At 34.8% G+C, this 22,361-nt stretch overlaps 1 protein-coding gene across 29 annotated transcripts in view; it reads right to left on the bottom strand.

Annotated features, from left to right (window-relative positions):
• The window catches only part of CNTN4 (contactin 4), a 959,094-nt gene that overhangs the window by 807,266 nt on the left and 129,467 nt on the right, over nt 1-22,361 (bottom strand). The window contains exon 1 of one of the 29 annotated variants that reach the window (NM_001206955.2): nt 11,626-11,865. The exons of the other annotated variants lie outside the window; for them this stretch is intronic. The gene's annotated coding sequence lies outside the window, so the exon portion shown is untranslated. Of the gene's footprint in view, nt 1-11,625; nt 11,866-22,361 lie in introns of those variants that run through there. 29 annotated transcript variants of the gene reach the window in all.

Raw genomic sequence — 22,361 nt, 5'->3', positions numbered from 1 at the left:
AATAGTGTGACAAAATGCAAATTCCTTCATGAGCAAGGGTTCCAAAACAGTTTGGTTATTTCCCACATAGTGATGTTTCCATACATGTAATGTGATCAGATCAGGGTAATTATCATATGCATCGTCCTGAACATTTATCATTTCATTGTGTTGGGAATATTCAATATCCTCCCTCTAGCTATATATTATCAACTACAGTCATCCTACAATGCTATAGAAATGCTATTATTAACTTCATTTTATAGATTAAAAAATAAGAGGCTTACAGCATAAATAACTTGCTAATAGGGTTGATAGCTGAAATTTTAATCTAATTTTGTTTAACTACAAGTACTCTATCTGCTCTTCGTAGGAGAAACAACACTGAGTCCATGATTCAGAAAATCTGGGTTCTAGTCACATTTCGCTATTAATTAGTTATGCCATTTAAGGGAAAATGTAGAATCTCTTCTTCTCTAGTCTATTAATTGAAGGAGCAGTAATTCTCATGAAATTAAATCTTTATATTTGTAATTGATCACACAGAAGTGAATATGATTTTACATAGAAAAGTTAAATTATAAAGGGCAATTATATGAAATGTTATTCGATCAAATGAGCCATCTTCTCTATATGAGACCCAAAACCCATACTGAAAACAGCAATATTTTGGAGCAATGCACAAAGCACTGGAAATGGATAAGGAAATTCTAAGAGCTTTCTTATTTTAAAATCCATGCACTGCTTTACATCCATTTCTGGCAGACATCCTGGTTAAAGCAGGAAATGAAAAGTATTCAAAATCCCTCTATAGGGATCTTGAAAAAAATCTAAAATCAATAAAAACACTCATTATGTAGAAAATAAGGCATAAGAATATTCCTTGTTTGTTTTAAAGAAAAGGTCTATGGCAAGGGGCATTGTGGTACTAGGACTGAAAACTAAAGCCACCACATAATGGGACAACCATTACCCACTCTATTACCTTCAGCATTTGAAATTTGTTTGGTTGATTTCTTTCCAGCTCATTTAATCTCATTTACATGTTTTACCAAGACCCATTTTATCCCACCATTTAATTCTTTGCCCAACCTATGCTGTTTCAACTACTCTTCTCTCTTTGTGCTTCCTGTAAACCTCAACAAATGACTAAACTTGACTCTACAAGCTAGATTATTTGGCCCAAACCCTACCCATTCTATAACCAAAAATAAGTGAGTCTGCCTCCTTGAACTTTCTAGCTGCTCACTTTCAGACACACTAACTGTCCTGGAAAAAAAGTACACTTTCTAGTCATGAGATCACTTATAATTGGTGTATTATCCTATTTCAGAGGTCGGAAGATTATTTTAATCTCTCTGACTGCAGTAGACCTTGTATGTACAGTGTCCTTTGGATGTGATACTACATGCCTGCTTCCAGAGATGTGACTTTTCATTTTTCATAGTACTCCTCTCCCAGCCCCAACCTTCTCAAAATAGTTCATCAATCCCTCTAAATAGTGCTGGTGACAGAAGCTACCTATTTCTTCACTTTTTAAGCCCATCTACAATGTTTTTTTATAATTTATTTTATTTTCTTTAATTGACAAATAATAATTATGCATATCAGGAGATACATAGTGATGTTTCAATATATGTAATGTATAGTAATGAGGTCAGGGTACAATTTTTTAAGGTAATTCATCTCAGACAACAGATAAGATGACTTTGCTTTTAGCAGCTACTACTCTCAGTCTCATTAGAAAACTCCTTATGCGTTTGGAGGGTACGAGGGAATACCTTTCGTATCTGCATTGTAGCCTTTTCCATTCACAACCTAATTTCCCATTAAAACAAATCCTCTTCTTAAAATTCAGCTGAATTTCATTACACCAAGCCCACACGAATATAAACAATCTACAATATCCTGTTTTATATCGTCAGGAGAATGCATGTTTGTTCTGTCGCTTTAACAGGCTTTTCTTTTCACAAAGCCACTAAGTGGCTATTTTCAGTATTAACGGAAGAGAGTGCTCAAGCTCATCACCCAAACTTCCAGATATGATGAATGGCCAAGGCAAAAAACATATTTGTTAAGGAAGCAACCCATAGAAGGCTTGTAGAGCTTTGATTGATCGTGTTTACCCAATGGATACAAATGTTATTGGCCTTTAAAAAATATTTGGGGGGTTTATGTTCTGTTTTCTTTTCCTTCCTGAAAATGGCTTTTTCAGACCAGTGTCTGCACAGGCTCACACAATGCAGTGGTATAGAGTAGCCATTACCAGCAATTCTGTATAAACAAAATTGATTGATTGATTCTAGAATGTGATGAGGTACAGAAATGGTTCACACCTAAGAGTAAGTCTTCACTATTACTCCTTTTTTTCAGGGCTATTTGTTGTCTATGTTACTTACATAGACACAAACCAAAGCAATTTGGTTAAATAAACTGAAAAGCTTGAATTTGATTCTGGCACCAAACATTAGCTTCTTTTTATATCATGACCACAATATTCAGTCGTCTATGTATAAAATAAAGATTTATTCATAGAGCTAATGATTCAAGAATTACTAACTGAGTACCTATTATGAGCCAGGAACTTTTATAGGTTCTTACTTTATTGCACTGAAGAAACCAGTCTCAGCATTCACACGGCTTACAACCTAGCATGAGGAGATAGTAAACAAATACATATATCACATGTCAGGTGGTGATAAATGCCATGGAGGAATGAGAGACTGCAGAGAGGGTGCGGCTATTCTTCTAGAGAAAGAAAACAAGCCATGTAGGTATCTGAGGGGAAAAACAATTCAAGGAGAGGAAACACATGCATGAAGTCCTGAGAGAATTGTAGAGAAAATTTAATAGTAATACATACGAAAGTTCTTTGATGACTTTAGTAAGACACTATTATTATCATAACTTCTAAGTACCACACTTTCTGCCACTTTTGCTGACTAGACATGGGTTGCTATTTGTTCCCCAAAATATAACTCATAATGACACTGTAAAGCCAAGAATAACTGCTGTCGCTCAAATAATATGTATAAGTCAACTTATAATCATTTGCCCCATAGCTCAGTTTTAGAGCCATTTTATCATCAAGAATACAGTCCTTAGCAATTTTCCTTTTAATCAAAAATGTTCCCGAATATGACAAGAAATTCGCAAATCTAGAACTACAACATCAGCCAAAGTAGAAAAATAGCAATTTTCCCTGTAAAACTGATTTCAAAACTATCATCATCTGTCATCATCATCATCAATCACAAGAGGCAACTGCTTTGGCAGCATTATTTTAAGTCCATATTTAACTAGATGACAGCTTAACCTTCTTAGGGAAGCAGAATAATCTCTCCTTACAACACCAACCAAGCACAGAAAAGTAGATCTGCTCTAATACAGAAATTGGCTTTCATCTGATTTTATAAACACACTATGGCATCTGATGATTTAATAGGTACTTGGGTTTTTCTTTTGAACATTCAACACTCTAGCAGAGCTGGTAAAGATGGCATGCTCAAGAATTATTGCAGTCACTGCAACGGCAATAGCTTATCAACAGAATTCGCTGGGTATGACATCCACCTAGAAAGGCATCCATGCAAATCTCCCTTCCAGAGAAAGAAAAGGCACCTGTGTAAATATATAGTAGAACACAATGCATATGTGCTTTGTGCATGGCATTCACATTCATTTCCCATTCTATGCTTGTACTTAACCAACCTCCTCCAGTTGCTGTTCACATCCACGCCCTAAGACTTTTCTTGTCTCTATGTGTATGTTTGCACTACTTACTCAACTTGCAGTGAACATCTCCACCAAGTCTGTATGTCCAAATCGCAGCCACATTACACTGAACAAATCCACTGCCAACTCATTCCACGAACATTCCCTGAATCCCCCTGAGAGGACTTTTCCCCACCTCTGAATGCCCCATCAAACTTCATCTATGCCTCTTTTAGGAACTCATCTTCTATTAGAACAATTTGTTTGAACCCACCATCCCCTCTCTCCTTTTCATGGTAAAAAGCCCTTTGTGGGTAATTATTATAAGCTGTTTGTCTTTTAATTTTTATTTTTCTTGGTATTTCCTATAATAGTATATACACATTGCATTGCTGCCAATATGTGTAATAAATCAACAAATACTACATTTACTAACAATTCTGCAACTTCAAACTAATTCCCGAGTTAAAGATGTGCCTACCACTATCCCCAGCACAGCTATGGGCCAGCATGAAAGTAACTATCTATGGAAGTTACTTAAGGCAAATGTTAAACACAGCAATTTTATTACTCAAAAAAATGTAATATGATAGCAAAAATATCTTCCCATTAAAGGTTTCCTTTCAGGATAAGGGGTATTAAAAATGCTTTCCTTATTATCCCCACAATTGCTAGCCCATTGCCTTGATGACAATTTGCTGAATGAATAAGTAAATGATTGCATGATTTTGTGCACTTTACTGTATCTCAGCCACAGAATCTAAACATTTTGGGGAGGGAAAGTAGTTGCAGGATGAGAATGTCCAAAATATGCAATTGCATTGTATGATATTTTTTTTAAAAAAACACATCAGTGCTATTAAACAGAAACCTATCAGAGAATGTAGGGTTAAAATTTTAATCTGTACCTGAGGAAAATAATTGGGACCACTGACATTCTGAAAAACTAACATCCAGAAAGGTATTTATCTAAGAGCATCTGACAGTGTGAGAATGTGAGAGTGTAAGGTAGAGCACGCATGTGTGCACACAGATGTATCTCTCTGTGTGCCTGTTGCTGGTAAAGTTGAAAGAAGAGCTGAGAGAAAAGGAATAATTCTCAAAAAAGGAACTCTAGTGCTAGGATTTAAGTACGAATTCATGAAAAATATAAAAACTTCAGCAGAGCTAGACAGTTCATGATTACTCATAGAAGACATAGTTACAGGTAGCTGAAAGGTATATAATTTTTCATAACATGTGACCAATGAGAATAAAATATTAGGTTAAATTTACAAATTTTCACCCTACAATCTTTTGTCTACAAAAGAAAATACGTACACCAATTTTTATTATTTTAAATCAAAATGCTAAGAGTTCTAAAAACATGTACATGGTACATTTCTAAAACTCAATGTACGTTACTATTTTATTTTACTTATTTCAATGTCTATACTTCTGAAGAATAGTTGCAACAGTTTCAATGCAATAGGAGTTATTGGAAAATTAAGTATAGCAGGACAATCACCCTCTGGGTCAGTGTACACACTGTCATTGCCTTTTTCTGAAAACATGAGAACAATCACCTGAGAATCTATGAATTGTGATATTCACCAACCTGGCTGTATTATTCGTCTTATTGCCAGAATGAATAACTGGCACAAAGTAGCTACTCGGAAAGTGTTTGTTAAACTGTGCTGGATATTGCACCAATCTGTCTATTTTGCCCACATATTAGATCTCAAATGAATTAGGGATCTCCCTAGCCTCAGTTTCATCCCTAATAAAATACAGTGACTTTATCTTCTACTAAGTATCTCCCAAAATATATCTCATAGAATACTGATTATTAAATACATAGGAGGAGTGAGTTCTATCATCCAGATATGGGAACAATTCTGTTTGAAACAGTGATAAATTTTTAGCTGTAAGACTTCTCAGGGTATTTAACATTAAACCATCCATTGTATCTATTATGGAAGACGGACAGTATTTCTCCGTTTATTTGACGTTAGAATGATTTTTAATTAAAATATTACAGTAGGTTGATTAAGCCTTCTCATAGTTATTGAACATTAAATATCATGAATTTTTTAAGTTTATATGTTATATAAGCACTTATTTTCATTTACTAGCTCTAAAAGTATTTTCATAGACCATTACAGCATTTTCAGATTCAGAGCACAAGCCCTTGAGCAATCGCCACATGTTTCCATGCTTGGCTGACTTACCCTGTTCCCTCTCCTTGTTTGTCTCTCTCCTGACGGGTCATACTTTATTTAACCTTTCCTTTTATTTAATGACTTTATTCTCTGGATAATCATAATTTCCTTTCCAGGACTGTCCAATGGAAATATAATGCAAGACACATATGCAGTTTGAAATTTTCTAGCAGTAACAGTTAAAAAGTAAAGAGATAGGGATAAAATTAAGTTTAATAATATATTTTATGTAACCTAATATACTCAAAATATCATTTCAACAGAGAAACAATAGTGAAATAGTTCATATTCCTTTTTTTGTACTTATCTTCTGAAACCTAATGTTCATTTTTCACTTACAGCACATATCACTTTGGGCACACATTTCCATTTCCCAGTAGCCACATGTAAGTAGTGGCTGACAGACTGGACAGCACAGCTCTACAACACATACAGCAGTCCCCACTTATTCATGGTTTTGCTTTCCACAGCTTCAGTTACCTGTGGTCACCCACAGTCCAAAAATAGGTGAGTACAGTATAATAAGATATTTTGAGATGACAGAGAGACACACAGAGAGAGAAACCACATTTACATAGATTTTTTTTATTACAGTATGATGTTATAACTGTTCTATTTTATCAATAGTTATTAATTTCTTACTGTGCCTAATTTATAAATTAAACTTTATCATAGGTATGTATGCACAGGAAAAACATAGTATATATAAGGGTTCAGTACCATCTGCAGGCATCTACTTGGAGTTGTGGTATGGGCTATGGATAAAGGAAAACTACCGTACAACTCATCAACATGTTACTTAAAATGCACAAATTAGGCTGAATAACATATTAAGTGCAGTTCTTCAAAGATACATTCTGCTTTTTCACAAGGTTTTTACATTGCTTTCAGCTTTGTCTCCAATATTTTCCTGTGGGCAACCAGCCTATACTGCAGAAGTATGGCAACTTACACCATTGGGAATGTCTTCAACACTGATTACTCTATCAAATGCGAGTCTGAACAATGACCTCTCTACATGTAAAATACTAAAGGTTTCAAGGATAATGCATGTAGAAATCTCAGAATTTTCATTTTGCCCTTATCATTGAGAAAAGCATTATTTAACTTGTCCATAGTGAACTACACTATTCATCCACTCCATTTTGTTTATTTACTCATTACTAATAAGCTTTCACCCAAGGGTGTCCAGTCTTTTGGCTTCCCTGGGCCACATGGGAAGAAGAGTTGTCTTGGGCCATACATAAAATACACTAATGATAGCTGGTGAGCTAAAAAAAAATCACAAAACAATCTCATAATGTTTTAAGAAAGTTTACGAATTTGTCTCAGGCCACAATAAAAGCTGTCCTGGGCCACAGGTTGAACAAGCTTGCTTTAATCCTTTAATACAGCCCACACATGGGCCTAGAAATTCATCACATAAAAATGGATATTAAGGTTCCACTTCTAACAGAACCTCTTGTCTTATTTGGGAGAGAAAAATATAGTAATAACCCAGAGCAGTGGTTGCTGACATAAGAAAAATACATACAGTTACAAAGTAAAGTCAACATTACCTTGGACAATCAGGGAAGTCTTCAAAGAGCTAGGTCTTAACAAAGGTAGGTCTCAAAAGAAAGTTATGCATTTGCCAGGTTTAAGAGGACAGTGGCAGAGGATAATAATACATTCCATGGAGGGAGAACAGTTACTTGCTAAGTATGGAAGTATACAAATACAGAAGCATGGAGAGCTGAGATGATGAGGCAACTTAGACCGTGCTCAGCTTGCACCAGATTCTGCATACCAGGCTAAGCAAGTCAGCTGAAATATTTTAAGAAGAAATGTTACAGATCAGAGCCTTCAAATTTTCCATCTTTTGTTCTAAATTCCTGCCATACTTTGGAATATCTATATCAGTAGATTTTGACTGAACTGTTATACGTGATTAGTGTTTTTATGGAAAGTTCGTCAACTCTCAAGATACTGGATCCCTGTGAGATCATGAGGATCTGAATAAAACTTCTTTAACTGCAGCAAGTAATTTGTGATGCATGATATTATTAGTCTCCTTATAGGTTTTACTCCCATATGCGGAAGGGTGAAATGTCCAGATCCATCTTTATTCATTTTGTATCCACAGATAGATACACTCAATAGAGCACAGGAAGATTGAACTGACTATTCAAGGACAATTTTCTTACTTCTACAAGTTTAAATGGTGCTTACTATGGTGTATGCATATATATTTTGACCCTGTAATCTGCTATGAACTCACTGGAGAACTGATGTTAAAAAAGTGTCTCTGCTTCACATTTACCTATGTAACAAACCTGCACATCCTGCATATGTACCCCTGAAATGGAAAGTTGGAAGAAAACATTGTGCTTTAAGCTTATTTTTCTCATGAACCCTTTCCTAATGAATCCTTTCTATCTTGAGTCTGAATAACATATATAGCCTCAGCCTCACCAACTTCATGTTATGATATGTGGACCAAATCAGATGAAACACGTGAATGCATATAGTACATTCTATGACATGGTAGTGGCCATTATGGTTGTCATTACTGCTGTTATTTATATTAATATTAAATATACATTAGAGAAGCAAAGCAAGAATGGTCAAAGAAAATGTCTATCGTTTTGTGATTTCTATTAGAGATTTCTTCCTGACCCTTAATTTTAAAAGTTATTATGCATTTAATGTATTTTAAAATAATTGTGTTCTTCCTAGTACTAATATAAGTTTTTGATGGTCTTTCACCCAATACCTAAGACCATGTATGCAGATGCAGACATGCTCTTTTTGTTCTCGTATTCCTCAACATTTAGAAATTGTGTTTGAAGTTAAATAAATGATGACATGAGATGATTTATCCAATGGGGCAGAAAACAAGAAGATAAGTGAGATCCTTTGAAAAGGAACAGAAATAATTGGCCCACCCACCGCAAACACAACACTCAGGAAAAATCAAGCCTAGACTTGTATTACCTTGTCTGGCATACCGTTTTAATTTTAGAAAATAATTCAACTGAACAAGCCTGGATTGCTTAGAAGAGCATGACTTGTGTCAAAGGAGGGAACATGGGGAAGAGAAGTACACAGTCTAATTGGGAGGCAGATACAGAGAGAATGTGTTTGGTCACAAAGCAATGTGTTCTGGATGAGCTCCAGTGGAAAGACAAGCTGACGGTAGTGACCTTGAGTAAAGAGTTCTGACTGCAGACATCTGAAAGACATTGCAGAAGATGCAGACATTAAGCTAAACATTAGAAGCCAAACACAGCTTTGGCAGGTAAGAACTGGAAGGAAGGGGTATCCCTAGAAAAGAGAATTGAATGAGCAAAGACAGAGAGATAGGAGCAAATAATGAGTGAAATGGCAAGTGATAATAAGTAGCAGGAGGATAAGGGACATATAATGAGTTGATGATTAGAAAAGCGGAGAAATAATCGTGGGAACACTCTTGATGTCAGCATTGTAACTATCTATCCAATGCCTGGAATACCAAGCAATAAAATGTAAGCAATAAAGACAAATTAATTTACTACAGTAATTATGATATCTACAACTTTTCTAATTAGTAGTACACTGGCCTCTGAAAATAAGTAGACCTAAGTGCTCTATTTACATATTCATATCATCTCAATAAGTAACAAACAATAAATATCCATTATTTTAATTGTTTATTTTTAAATATTTTCCTTAAAATTTGTTTATACTGATTTGCATTCTTTTGAAGGGGAGTAACACATTTACATATTGCTTTTGTCAATGCCATGCTGCAAACCGCCCTTTGCCATAAAAATATATTTTTACTAATGGCATATAATCAAGCATGCACTTCATTAGTCATTAAACCTTACTACAAATATTCAACAGCTATGTAGCAATTGCAATGAAAACAATGAAATTGATTTCAAACTGTAATGCCTGTGATTTTTCTCATAAAACACAGGAAAAAACTCCCTGTGAAAAGAAATAAGATATGCAAAGAACATTTTATTCTCACTGGATTTACAAACGTTTAAAATATAATTTTTAATATCTAGTATTCAAAACTAAATTTTAAAAATGATGTTAGTGTCTTAATAAGCTTCGTTGCTTGACATTACCATTTTCATACATGAGTTACATAGTTTTCCTAAACAATGCAATGACTAAGCTTCCATATGTAGGTTGAATCATATGAAACCGACACTGTCTAACTATTGTTCACCTACAAAATTACAATTTTGTAGGTTTACTCTAATATATTAAAAATCATAAAATCATAGGATTTCAGAGTTAGAAACAAAGTTTGAGAAATCTAGTGAAGTCTTTGGCCTGGTTTATAAAAATTCCTTCTAGTATGAAGTAATGGTCATTTGATATCTGCTGTTGGTATATTTGGAAAAACGAGCTTAAAATAATACATAAACAGGAACAAAAGGAGCATTTAATGCAAACTAAGCCCAATACTCAAATTCAATGGATCTTTCCCCTTATTATCCCACTTTAGGGTAAGATTTCGTTTTAACTAAAGGAACGGAAAAGGAAAAAAGAAAACATATCTCAAATGAATATCTAACCCCACAATATGAAAGCCAACTGAAAATAATTTAGTTTTTTAAATGGCCAGAGTAAAGGGCATTCAGGACTTACTATCTAGACTAAAAATATAATGCATTGATTTCTCTAATCTCAAACAAAAGGAACTAAGATTAGCATTCTTAGATAACACTCTTTCATTTAAGTAGCCTGGAAGAATCAAGTGAATTATTCAAATCCAGAAAGGAAAACCACTAAGAAAACAGATATTTTAATGCTCTTCAGTCTGCAACCTATGCAGGAAGAGAGAAATCAGATACAAGATAACCTTGAGCTAACATGGTTATGAGGGATTCTTTCTAAATGAATGATTTTAGGATGGGTCAGTCCTGAGTTTTACGTCAGGTAGGGCAAAAGGGTACAGACGAGCCTTCCTTCCTAGATCTGTTCCCATCCCATAAAATTCAGCAAGAAAACAAGAACACTGGTGACCAAATAAATTAATTGTACCCTTTTATTGTCTTATCCCTATAAATGAATTTACCTTTCTCCCTTGGTCCCTGTAACTTCTTAATTTATTAATTATAAGAAGAAGACTGCTATTGCAGTCTTACCAATACAAAATTATTAACCTCTAACTTCAACTTTTTGAATTACGAAATAAAAGGAACCTAAGAGACCATAGGATTCATCTCACTGACTATAAATAAGGAACTGAGCTTAGGGAAACTGAATTGCCCAAGATCCCAAAGCTTGTAAGAGCAAGATCAGGCCCCACAAGACTTGCTCTACACTGCTGATCCATAATGTGATGGCCTAGCAGGATAGGATACTATCCCCTTTGTTGTAATTTGGTCATTTTTGGTATGAGATTTGAGGGTATGTGTGTCTGTGCATGTATCTGTGTGTAGCTTAGACAAGCATTAGCAGAGTTAGGACTCAATGTTATACTCATTAATTAATCTTTCTTAAATGGTCAGTAATCCTTTTTAAGTCCAAGGATCGTCCGCATAAATCAAACTCTGTAATGCCACAGGATTATCGGCAACTGCGTAACCAAATACAAATCACATTATTAACACAGAATTACCAAAATATAAATTGCTAAAAGAATCAAATAAATTGATAATTCTCCAGTATATGATATATGCACTAAATTAAAAGTTATTAAAACAGAGAACTTTGCACAAAATTAAAAGGTATTAGGTTGACTCACTTAAAAGACGACGATTGAGAATTTTTCTAATAAAAACAGAGCCAGGCCGGGCACGGTGGCTCACGCCTGTCATCCCAGCACTTTGGGAGGCCGAGGCGGGCGGATCACGAGGTCAGGAGATCGAGACCATCCTGGCTAACACGGTGAAACCCCGTCTCTACTAAAAATACAAAAATTAGCCAGGCGTGGTGGCGGCGCCTGTAGTCCCAGCTACTCGGGAGGCTGAGGCGGGAGAATGGCGGGAACCCGGGAGGCGGAGCTTGCAGTGAGCCGAGATGGCGCCACCGCACTCCAGCCTGGGCGACAGGGCCAGACTCCGTCTCAAAAAAAAAACACAGAGCCAACTGATAATTAAAAATGACAACACATAAAATCATTTTTACAGGAGTAAGTTAGGTTCCAAAACGCACAGTTTGGCAACATTCGGATTTTTAACATAGCAAAATACATACATTTTATTAAAAATCACCAAATATTTAAAGCCAAATAAATAGCTGAAGGGAAAGCATTAAATACATTGAAGATTGTATTTAGCAATTCAGATAACAAATTTAAGATATTTTCTAAGATTTTTTTATTTTGAAAAATCTACAATTTTATTATACATCAGCAAATGAAATTTTATGATTAAAAATTTTCTATTATTCATTTTATTGGCAAATAAATTTTGGACTAAATCTGATGTTAAAATTAACCTACTATTTTATAGTTTAATAGAAAATATATTGCTGTTGCATTATATATTGTTTATATAAGATTTAGCTATATATTCCATAATTCATAAGGAAAAGTAGTCCCGTCAAAATCAGTAATCAAAACTGTTATACAATTCCTAGAAGATAATACATATTTATTATTCCTTCACCATATAATTATTTACTTATTTAAATAAAATGGTACATATCCCAAAATACGTTATTCCTCAAATTCAATTGTTCATAGCCTGCAAATTTAAAAAGTGAATTTTACAATGAGGAATAAACCTGGACTTTTTTTTTTCTTTAGTCAATTACTTTCCAGGGGTATCACTGGTTTTATAAAAACGTCTCAATGGCAAGTCATGTTAAAAAACGTTCTTCACTGGATTTACAGAGGACCTGATTTTATTATGATATTTTATAATCTGTTTAATAAGTTACCCTGATGAGCAAGAAAATTATCACAGTAAATCTATTTTAATAATGGCCTATAGGCTAATTTAAATCTGAATATCTGAAGTAAGCAAAATTAATTATTTAATCTTCATATGAAAGTCAAACTGTCTCACTTGAAATTAAAGGATAAATTTCATCAGATCATAAAAATACCAATATTCATTCCTTACAAACTAAATGAAAACAACTCCCTTCTTATCACTTACCATTTCTTTAAAATCCCTGCCAAATTTTTAGACCAGAAATAAAATATTTTTTAAAACCTGAAATCTAACCTTCAAGAAGGTTATATTAAATAAGTTAGAGAAGGTGCACAACAATTATAAAGCTTTTAAATGGCATAAGCACAATCCAAGATTTAGAAATCCCTCTCTCTTTTTACTCTCAAAGATTTTACACTAAACCTTTCTCCCTTTTCGCTTTTCCTTTTGTTTTTGTTTTTGAGACAGTGTCTTGCTCTGTCGCTGAGTCTGGAGTGCAGTGGTGGGTTATAGCTCACTGCAGCTTCAACTCTTGGCCTCAAGCGATCCTACTGCTTCAGCCTCTGGAGTTTCTGGGACTACAAACAGGAGTAACCACACCCAGCTTACAGTAAACCTTTCTAAATTTAAATTCAATGTGATATTCTGCCTCCCTCTCATCCCTCCTATATAGCCAATCCACCACTAAGTCAAGACCATTTTACTTCATTCACATCTCTTCATCTTCACCACCACCTCCCCACAACCTACCACTACTGACTCCACAAACTTTAGTAGCTAGTATGATCGTCCCTCTTACCTCAACCCTCTTAAGATGCTTCACTGTCTTCCCATTACTCATAGAGAAAAGGCCAAAATTCTTCAATTGGCCTACAAATCCCTGCACTGTCTGGTCTTTGCCAAATATTCCCACCATCTCATCTTCTACCATCCTCCATCTTGCTCTCTGCAGTCCAGCTACACTGAAGAAGTTTCAGTTCTTAAAATGTGCCATGTTCCTTCCCATTTCATACCCTTTCTTCTGGCACGATCTCTCTTAACCGTCTTCTGCCTACTCATTCTATCTCCCTACTTGATATGTGATCTCCCTTGCTATCTCCCTCTCTTTTATGATGTGTGATTTGTGACTGCAGCCTTAACTGCCCACCAAATGAGAGTGGCATCCTGATGTCTAGTGCAGAGCCTGACATCCAATAGGTATTAGTGAGTGAAATTAAAGTGAATAAATAAAAATGATAGTTTGAGGACATGCTTTTTTAATGTCCCATTTGGACACAGACATGGCTTGTGTTGCATTCCCAAGGGAAATAATTAACATTATTCCTGAGCCTCCAAACAAAAAGTACTGGGTTCAATAACGACCTTTTAAAAATGCTCACTGCTTCCTGAAGACTAAAACAAAACAAAACTATTTACTCTTCACATGTAGTTCAATGAATTGAACACAGCAGGTGTGAATAAATATGTATAGAATAAAGTCAGTTTCACTTTATAGGGCTTTTCAATTTACAATATGCTTCCACACACATGACGTCATTTAGACTTTATATCAAGCATTAAATGACATTAAATGAGCACCTAATGGTATTATCCCAGTTCACAGATAAGGAAGTAAAGTAAGAGAGGTTCAGTGGGTGGCCTGTGGTTTCATTGCTAATCAGCAGAGTGGATTCTCCTATCTTCAGCTCCTACGTACTTCCTGCCAAATTACCGAGTTTTAGCAATGACCTAGAGGATGTAAACTTAACAACTGCTCCCAATGAGACTATCCTGTAACTTCATAATGATTATGATTATGTTGCTGCTACACAGTGCTTTCATAATAATGTGTACAACTTATAGTACCTTATATCTAAAGAAGCACTTACTTAACATCCCTCAAAACTCAACTTGACCAACCTCAATTTCCTGAACCCTTCTCCATTGAATTAAGATGGCCCACTGCTGTATCTCCTATAATAACATTTCTACTTGCACTAAATTTTTTGACTAGTTTACTGAAATCTTTCCTTCAACTACATTGTATGTGTACTGAAGCAAGATAATGCCTCGTATTTGTATTCCAGCACTTAGAACAATGCCTCTTTCAGAGTGGCCATTGAAAACCTGGGTGTTAAGTGGATGTATTGTAACAATAAATAAATGAGTTAATATAAAATAAATGATAGTAAAGAAATGAATTAGCCCAAGAATAAGCATAATACTAGATGCTCTTGTTACTTCTAAATTAACAAAATTTACAATCTAGTGGGATCATTTTACTGAAATCTAGTTCTCTAGTTGGCATAGTAACCATTAATCAAAATACATAATCAAGTGTTCATCATATAGGATAGCAAAGCTCCTCTTACTAAACAGTTAACAGACAACACAATTTGCATTGGGGAGAAATTTTATTTTAAGCAGAGAGAAGAGTTCAAAAATTTATAAAAACAATTATAGGAATTATTAGAAAAAGGGGAGGAAAATAAAAAGATACTGAATGTGTTAAATGTCAAAATTTTTAAATATTAAATATTTACTGTAGCATGTTGAAAAACAGGCTAAGATATTCCTTTCCTGGATAGATATTTGAGGTTCTGTGTTTGTAACTGTATCAAAGTTAACTTGGATATTAATAAGCTGCTTAACCTAAATAGTTTTTAGGTTATCATAGCATGCATAATCCTAGTATGCATAACCTTGATAAATGTACAAATTGATAATGTTGGCATCATTACATCTCAAACTATTCACAATAATCACTCATTTCAAACTGTAGTCAAAAGACAAATAGAACAGGCAAAAATAAATCCTTTTTGTCTCTGAAATGTATAAACTTACGGGTGTTCTCTGCCACTTGGTTCTTTTGTTAGTTCTGAGTAAGCTCTGAGACAGCAGATGTTATCTATACAACAGATAAGCCAAGATAAATAAGAACTCAATTTTTCCAAGTATGGCCTTTTTTTCCCCAAAAAAATAAACTCAGGGCAATACTGTTCAAAGCAAGTAAACAGATTTTGTCAAAGCTTCAAGCAACAAGAAAGACAAGTTTCTGGTCTCCAGTTAGCATAAACTTGAATCTTTTGTGAGTGAGAAAATACTGAAAATACAATCACATGTTCCTCTGGCAAAGAAATTGGTGCTACTTCTTAAACAAGAGAAAAAGAGAAGAGAAAAAAGTAAAAGAGAAATATGCTCTTTGTGACGATCACACTCATAAAATGATCAAGCTTATTTTGGAGTCGCTGATAAAGATTCAAATAAAATTTCTTTATGACAAAGGCAATCAACAATGCATCTGCCTCATGCTAAAGAAAATTATTTGACTTTTTCCTAATGTTAGGTATTGTACCCAATCCTGCTAGTTTCATAAAAGGGCATTTAATGAATTTTCTTAATAGAATCAGCAGCATAAATCCCCATCAACAATTTCTTGGTCCAGTGTCAGGAATAAAGTCAAATCAGATAAGTAGCTCTGTATATAAATGAGATGAGCAGAGACTAACTCCACAAGCTGATGAAGTTTGTAAGTCTTAGCCAGACGCAATGAAAACTTCCTCTTTTTTTTTTTTTTTTTTTTTGAGATGGACTTGTTGCCCCGGCTGGAGTGCAATGGTGCGATCTTTTCTCACTGCAACCTCCTCCTCCTGGGTTCAAGTGATTCTCCTGCCTCAGCCTCCCAAGTAGCTGGGATTACAGGTGTGCGTTACCATGCCCAGCTAATTTTGTGTTTTTAGTAGAGACGGGGTTTCACCATATTGGTCAGGCTACTCTCGAACTCCTGACCTCAAGTGATCCACTCGCCTTGGCCTCCCAAGAAAATTTCTTAAATGCATATCCATTACTGGTTTTCTTGTCAAATGGCAGGTTGCCATTTCAGAATCTACCAGACAAATTATCAGCTGAAAACAAGGAAAAATTACTAGATACCTAACAGAGAAAGGAATTATATGGCATTGCTGGAATCGTGAAGAAGCATTACCAATACTAATTGCATAAAGTAGATTTTCCAGGTGATTTTTTTGTTTGATTTTCTTCTACCTTTTGCTGTGTATTTCACTTCGTATTTTAAAAGGGCATGGATAATTCTGAGAAAGGAAAATTCACTGGGCTCAAATTAGGGAGTCCCGACTTTTCCATTGACTTTCTTAGAAAAGTCTTTACTTATTATAATGAACTTCTTCATCCACAAAATTAGAGGAGTAAGCTAGATGACCTTCATGTCCCTGCAACAGATAATAACTATGATCTAGGATGATTCTATTATACGGCTGCTTTGTTAAACGGTTCAATTGGGGGTGAGGGGGTGGACACTGAAATTAGCACCAAGAAAACGGTCTGAAGATTCTCAACAGATTTGATTTCTCAAACCATCTATGCCTATCCTGGTTCACTGGAAATAATCCTTACATAAATACTATTATTCCTAAATTAAGTAGTACATGCTGAATAGTATTGGCCTAGTTCAGAATAGCCATCTATATGCTAATCAATGCATATAGCCCTAACGGAGAATGCAGAATATATCACAAGACTGCGAAAAACAAAAACAGGCAAAGGCTTCTTGATCGACCACTTAAGAGGTTATGTAGAGGCCATACGGTGGAGTTATGAAGTGTGTTTCCAGTGGAGAATGCCATCTACTGACATTAAAATACTCAATATTCATATGATTTTATTGAGTGAAGAGTCAACAGTGGATTTCAGACAGGGATCAGTGAAGAATCTGGTATGTAAAAATAAAAGGCCATCAATTATTAGCTTCTCTTTGGGGTTTCTGTGGGTATATGTTTAATAACTGTCATAGCTCAAGACAGTTCAGTCTGACCCCCATTAGTTTAAAAATATAATCATAGCAGCCACAGCAGCTAGCCATGCTTGAATAGTTTGACTGCTCTTAACAGGCGCCCCATTAACCAATTTCTTTGCATGCACTCAGATTTCTATCAGAAGTGCTCGATTCATTTCAGAGAAGAGAATAGGGACTATTCATAAAAGTAGAATCTGTCTTCCTGGGTCAAAAACCTCCTCTGTCTCTTCTTTCCACTCAACCTTTCTTATGACTTCCCACTCATAATAAAGTCATCTCATTTAGAGCTTGTTAATCCCTTGATCAAGCCATTATGTAGAGGTAGAGAGTGATAAGAGCTAAGAAAAAAACTTGATCTCAATTATAATTAAAAAATGCAAATGAAAACAAATATATTTTCACTCAATGTTTTCGTCTATTGAGTTGGCAAAGATCAAAAGTGTTACACTGTTGATAAATGCCTGGGGTAATAGACATTCACATACATTTTTGGTGAGTGCCTTCATTAGTACAAACTCTATGGAGTTATTTAGCAATATTTATAAAAAACTAAAAACAGCATACCAATTTTTAGCTATATAGTTTTTAGACAGCCTGTTATTGGTCAGAATAGCTACCAAAATAGGGTTGCTGTAAAGATAAAATGAGATAAGGCATGTAAAGAGTATTAAAAAAACTTGCATTGTACTAGTATTAATAAGCATTGATAAATCTTAACAGTTGTTCTCATGCATTCACTCATCAAACATTTGGAGTATGCTATACAACACAGTATAGTGGAAAAGATCTTAAGCTTTGCAGCTAGAGATACTTGACTGTTAAGTTCAACTACTCTGAATGTTTTACATGGCCCTGTAAACCCTGTAAAATTGGAATCAATTATTAATAATTATACTAATTATTTAGCAGGCTTTAGACATTTAAATGAGGCATTGACTGTAAAAATAAGCACAATTTCTGGTTCAGGTCATTGTTTTTATTATTATTATTGGATGACGATGATGATGTGATCAAGTCATTTTAGGAAATATAAAATTTCAGACAGGTCTCAGAAGAGAGTCATATTCACGAAGGTTTAAGAAAAGTACATGTGTGCACTATATATATCTATATCTAAAACATGTTATTTAAATGCTCTCTGGTAAGCTTTGTCATTTAGGGAAAATTCTTTATAGAAATATATAATTCAGGTATAATCCTATATGTTAATTTCATAGGAATGTGTTGTATTGTGTTAATAAATACCTAAAAGGCTAAGAAAAAATACCAAAATCCTTGCAATCTGAATTGCAATTAGCATATTTTTATCAGGACATAATTGATTAAATAAATTGAAGAGTACTTCAAATATTTTCTGGCTTTTTCTTCTCATTCTATAGTAAAATTACATTTTAATCATTATCAACCATTCGTTTTAGATAAATGACAAAAAGAAAAATATGTGAAGAAAAAGTGCTTTTATTTGACTTTAACCCAAAATAACCAATTTGATTCTCGTGAGCCTTGGATGTTGCTAAGGTACATTTCTTAAATTATAGCAGCAATTTTTCCTCAGAAATCTTCTAATTTTGTTCCAATCACTGGAGTCATGTTTATGTATTTCCTTGCATAGATGTACTGCTTCCTCAGAGAACTCTTGAGAATAGAAGCTCTTTATCAGATGATTGAATATCAGTGAGATGAATAGCCAGTTAGGTTAAAAATATAAAAAGACATTTACATTTAAACAAAAAGGAGATCATCTGAATGACAAAATGTGGGGGAGTTAAGGGGATGGATTAGGGAAATTTCCTCCCAGTCCTCTTCTCTGAGCATCTCCATGCCTAAGCATGGCAACTGTACTATCATGCTATTCAGAGCCAAGCTGTCCTACTTGGTAACCACCACTAGCCAGATGTGACTATTGAGTATTTGCAATGTGGCTAGTATGAATTGAAGATTTAGAGCAAAAAATGAGTGTAAAGTATCTAATTGGTAATTGTTTTAATATTGGTACAGTTGAATGATAATATTTTTTGACATATTGTGTTAACTAAAATGATTTATTAAAGTAAATTTCACCTGTTTCATTTTACTTTTTGGTGTGAATACCAAAAAAGTTTAAATTATATTTTTGATTCACATCATATTTCTTTTGTTTTGTTTTGTTTTTTTGAAACAGAGTCTCGCTTTGTCGCCCAGGCTGGAGTGCAGTGGCATGATCATGGCTCATAGCAGCCTCAACCCCCTGGGCTCAAGTGATCCTGTCACCTCAGTCTCCTGAGTAACTGGGACTAGAGGCGTGCACCACCATGCTCAAGCCAATTTTGGTATTTTTTTATAAAGACAGGGTTTTTGCTATGTTGCCCATGCTGGTCTCGAACTCCTGGGCTCAAGCAATCCATCTGCCTCAGCCTGCCAAAATGCTGGGATTACAGATGTGAGCCACCGCACCCATCCCTCACATCATGTTTCTATTAAACAGTGCAGACACATAACATTATTATTCATGACACAGGTATATGACATGTGTTCTTTTGTATGTACCCGTGGGTGCTTTGATGGTTCCAGTGATTAAGTTAGTTTCTAAAAGGAAAGAACCCATATTATTGGTACAATCCTATCTTCACTGGGCATGGGAAGGCTGGTGCAATCCCATTATGTGGGTCCAAATTTTCCCCTCTCAAATTGAGGCAATGCCCAGCACGGTGTTGAAATCAGAAAGTTTGAGTTTCCAGCTGGTATACTTGGACAAATCACCTAAACCTTCTGAGTCCCTCTTCTTATCTGCAAGTTTCTTGTTGTCTATCTGAACAACCGTATTGCTGGGAAAATCACGCAAGGTATATATGAGAGCTCTTCTGGTTGTACACACTATGGCACTTGAGGTGGTATTAATATTTAGTTTTATCTAAACAAATCACATTTGGAAAACCTGATCGTTGGCAACCCATCCAAACTGGAGCAAAAATACCACACCTGTGCTGTCAATGCGCTGCTGTGTAGGACAGGTGACAGCTGATTTGTTCAATCTTAAGTCACAGCTGGGATTGCTCAGAAATGGTATCTTTTCAAAACAAGTAAATAGAGTAGGGATCTCTAATAAAGCTTAATAATGATGACCACAGTAGCAGCATTCAGAGTAGAGAAACTTTAGGTTAAGAACAGATTAAAATTCCATGATGAAGATGGTTTCCTGATAACTCCCTCACATTCTCATGCATTCACTCATCAAACATTTGGAGTACGCTACACAACACAGCATAGTGGAAAAGGTGTTAAGCTTTGGAGCTGGAGATACTTGATTGTTAAGCTCAACTAATCTGAATGTTTGATATGGGCCTGTAAACCCTGTAAAATTGGAATAAATTATTAATAATTATTAGTACTTATTCAGCAGGTTTTAGGACAATTAAATGAGGCATTGATTACAAAAATTAGCACAATTTCTGGTGCATAGTTCTCAGTAAATATTAGTTAAAATAATAATACTTACTCTTATTTATTTACTATATAAACATGAAGATACTTTAAGACAGAGGCTCTGCCCTCAAGATATTATCTAGACTATTATCTTTCAGCTATATCTAAGGAAGTCTTAGATTAGATATTTTCAAATACTTACGTAACTATATGAATATTCGGCTGTAATTCTAATGTTTAGCACTGCATAATTAGAGTCTTGATTTTTCTAAGGGCCTATTCAAGAAGCCTCATGACTTTTATGAACTGAAATGCATTTTACCTAACAGATTTCATTTAATCAATCTTTTAACACTGGACTTCAGGAAGCTGATGTGGAAACAGTGGTTCCCTCTGCTACCACTCTTAAAGCTAGGCTAAGTATATTATATATTGGACCTCCTTTGAAATTATTTTTTAATAATACCCAAAACCCATTATCACCACATCCTAATGCAATAATCATTTACTGTGGTCCAATGAGATAAATGATGAAATACATCGATAACTTCTCAATTCCTTTCACAGACCTGGTTCAATATACTCTTAGTATGAACAACCATCATCTTAGCCAACTTATTTTTTCTACAATAAATGAATGAATGGCAAGGAATTCCAGAGAAAGTCCCTATAGGCCAATTCTACAAGGCTAATGCATTAGCGTCCTCAAAATAAAAGTTGGAGCAATTTGTAATCATTCTTATATACAGCAGAAGCAAACAAGATCCATATGGATGCAGAAAAGTGGTTCTGACATCTATCATCAAAATGAAGCACTGATTTTCTCTTAGTTTGCAGCTCTAAATTAACTGAGATGTCCAAATTTCCATATTCTAGAATAACCACCATCAAATCAATCAACCCAATCCTATTTAATAAATATTAATTGGGTTATAGAAGAAAATCTCACTCTCAAAATACTCACAATGTTGTTTTTAAATAAGTCTAAACTCTAATAGTCATTCATATATATTACAAGTTGCTATAAATATTCCAACTAAAACTCAGCTCTCAGTAAGGAAATTAGTTAATCATTAGACCCTCAGTCTTCTGATCTATAAATGAAGATAATAATATGTCTATAATACCATCATTTGATACATTAGAAATAATGTATATAAAGCCCTTATCACAGTCTTATCATTACTGTTGATGATGATGTTTTGTTTATTTGCTAAGGTAGAGAGATCTGCAAACTTGTTCACAAAGGGCCAGATGATATATACTTTCAGCCTTGCAGGCCATACAGACTCTCAGAGCTACTTACCTCTACTGTTGTAGTGTAAAAACAGCCAATACTTAAACAAATGAGTGAGACTGTGTCCCAATAAAGTTTTATTTATGGACAATGAAATTTAAATGCTATAT

The sequence above is a fragment of the Homo sapiens genome, chromosome 3 (assembly GCF_000001405.40).
Source record: "Homo sapiens chromosome 3, GRCh38.p14 Primary Assembly".
Taxonomy (NCBI): Eukaryota; Metazoa; Chordata; class Mammalia; order Primates; family Hominidae; genus Homo; species Homo sapiens.
The sequence above is the reverse complement of the archived record's forward strand: the minus strand, read 5'-3'. Positions and strand labels throughout refer to the sequence as shown.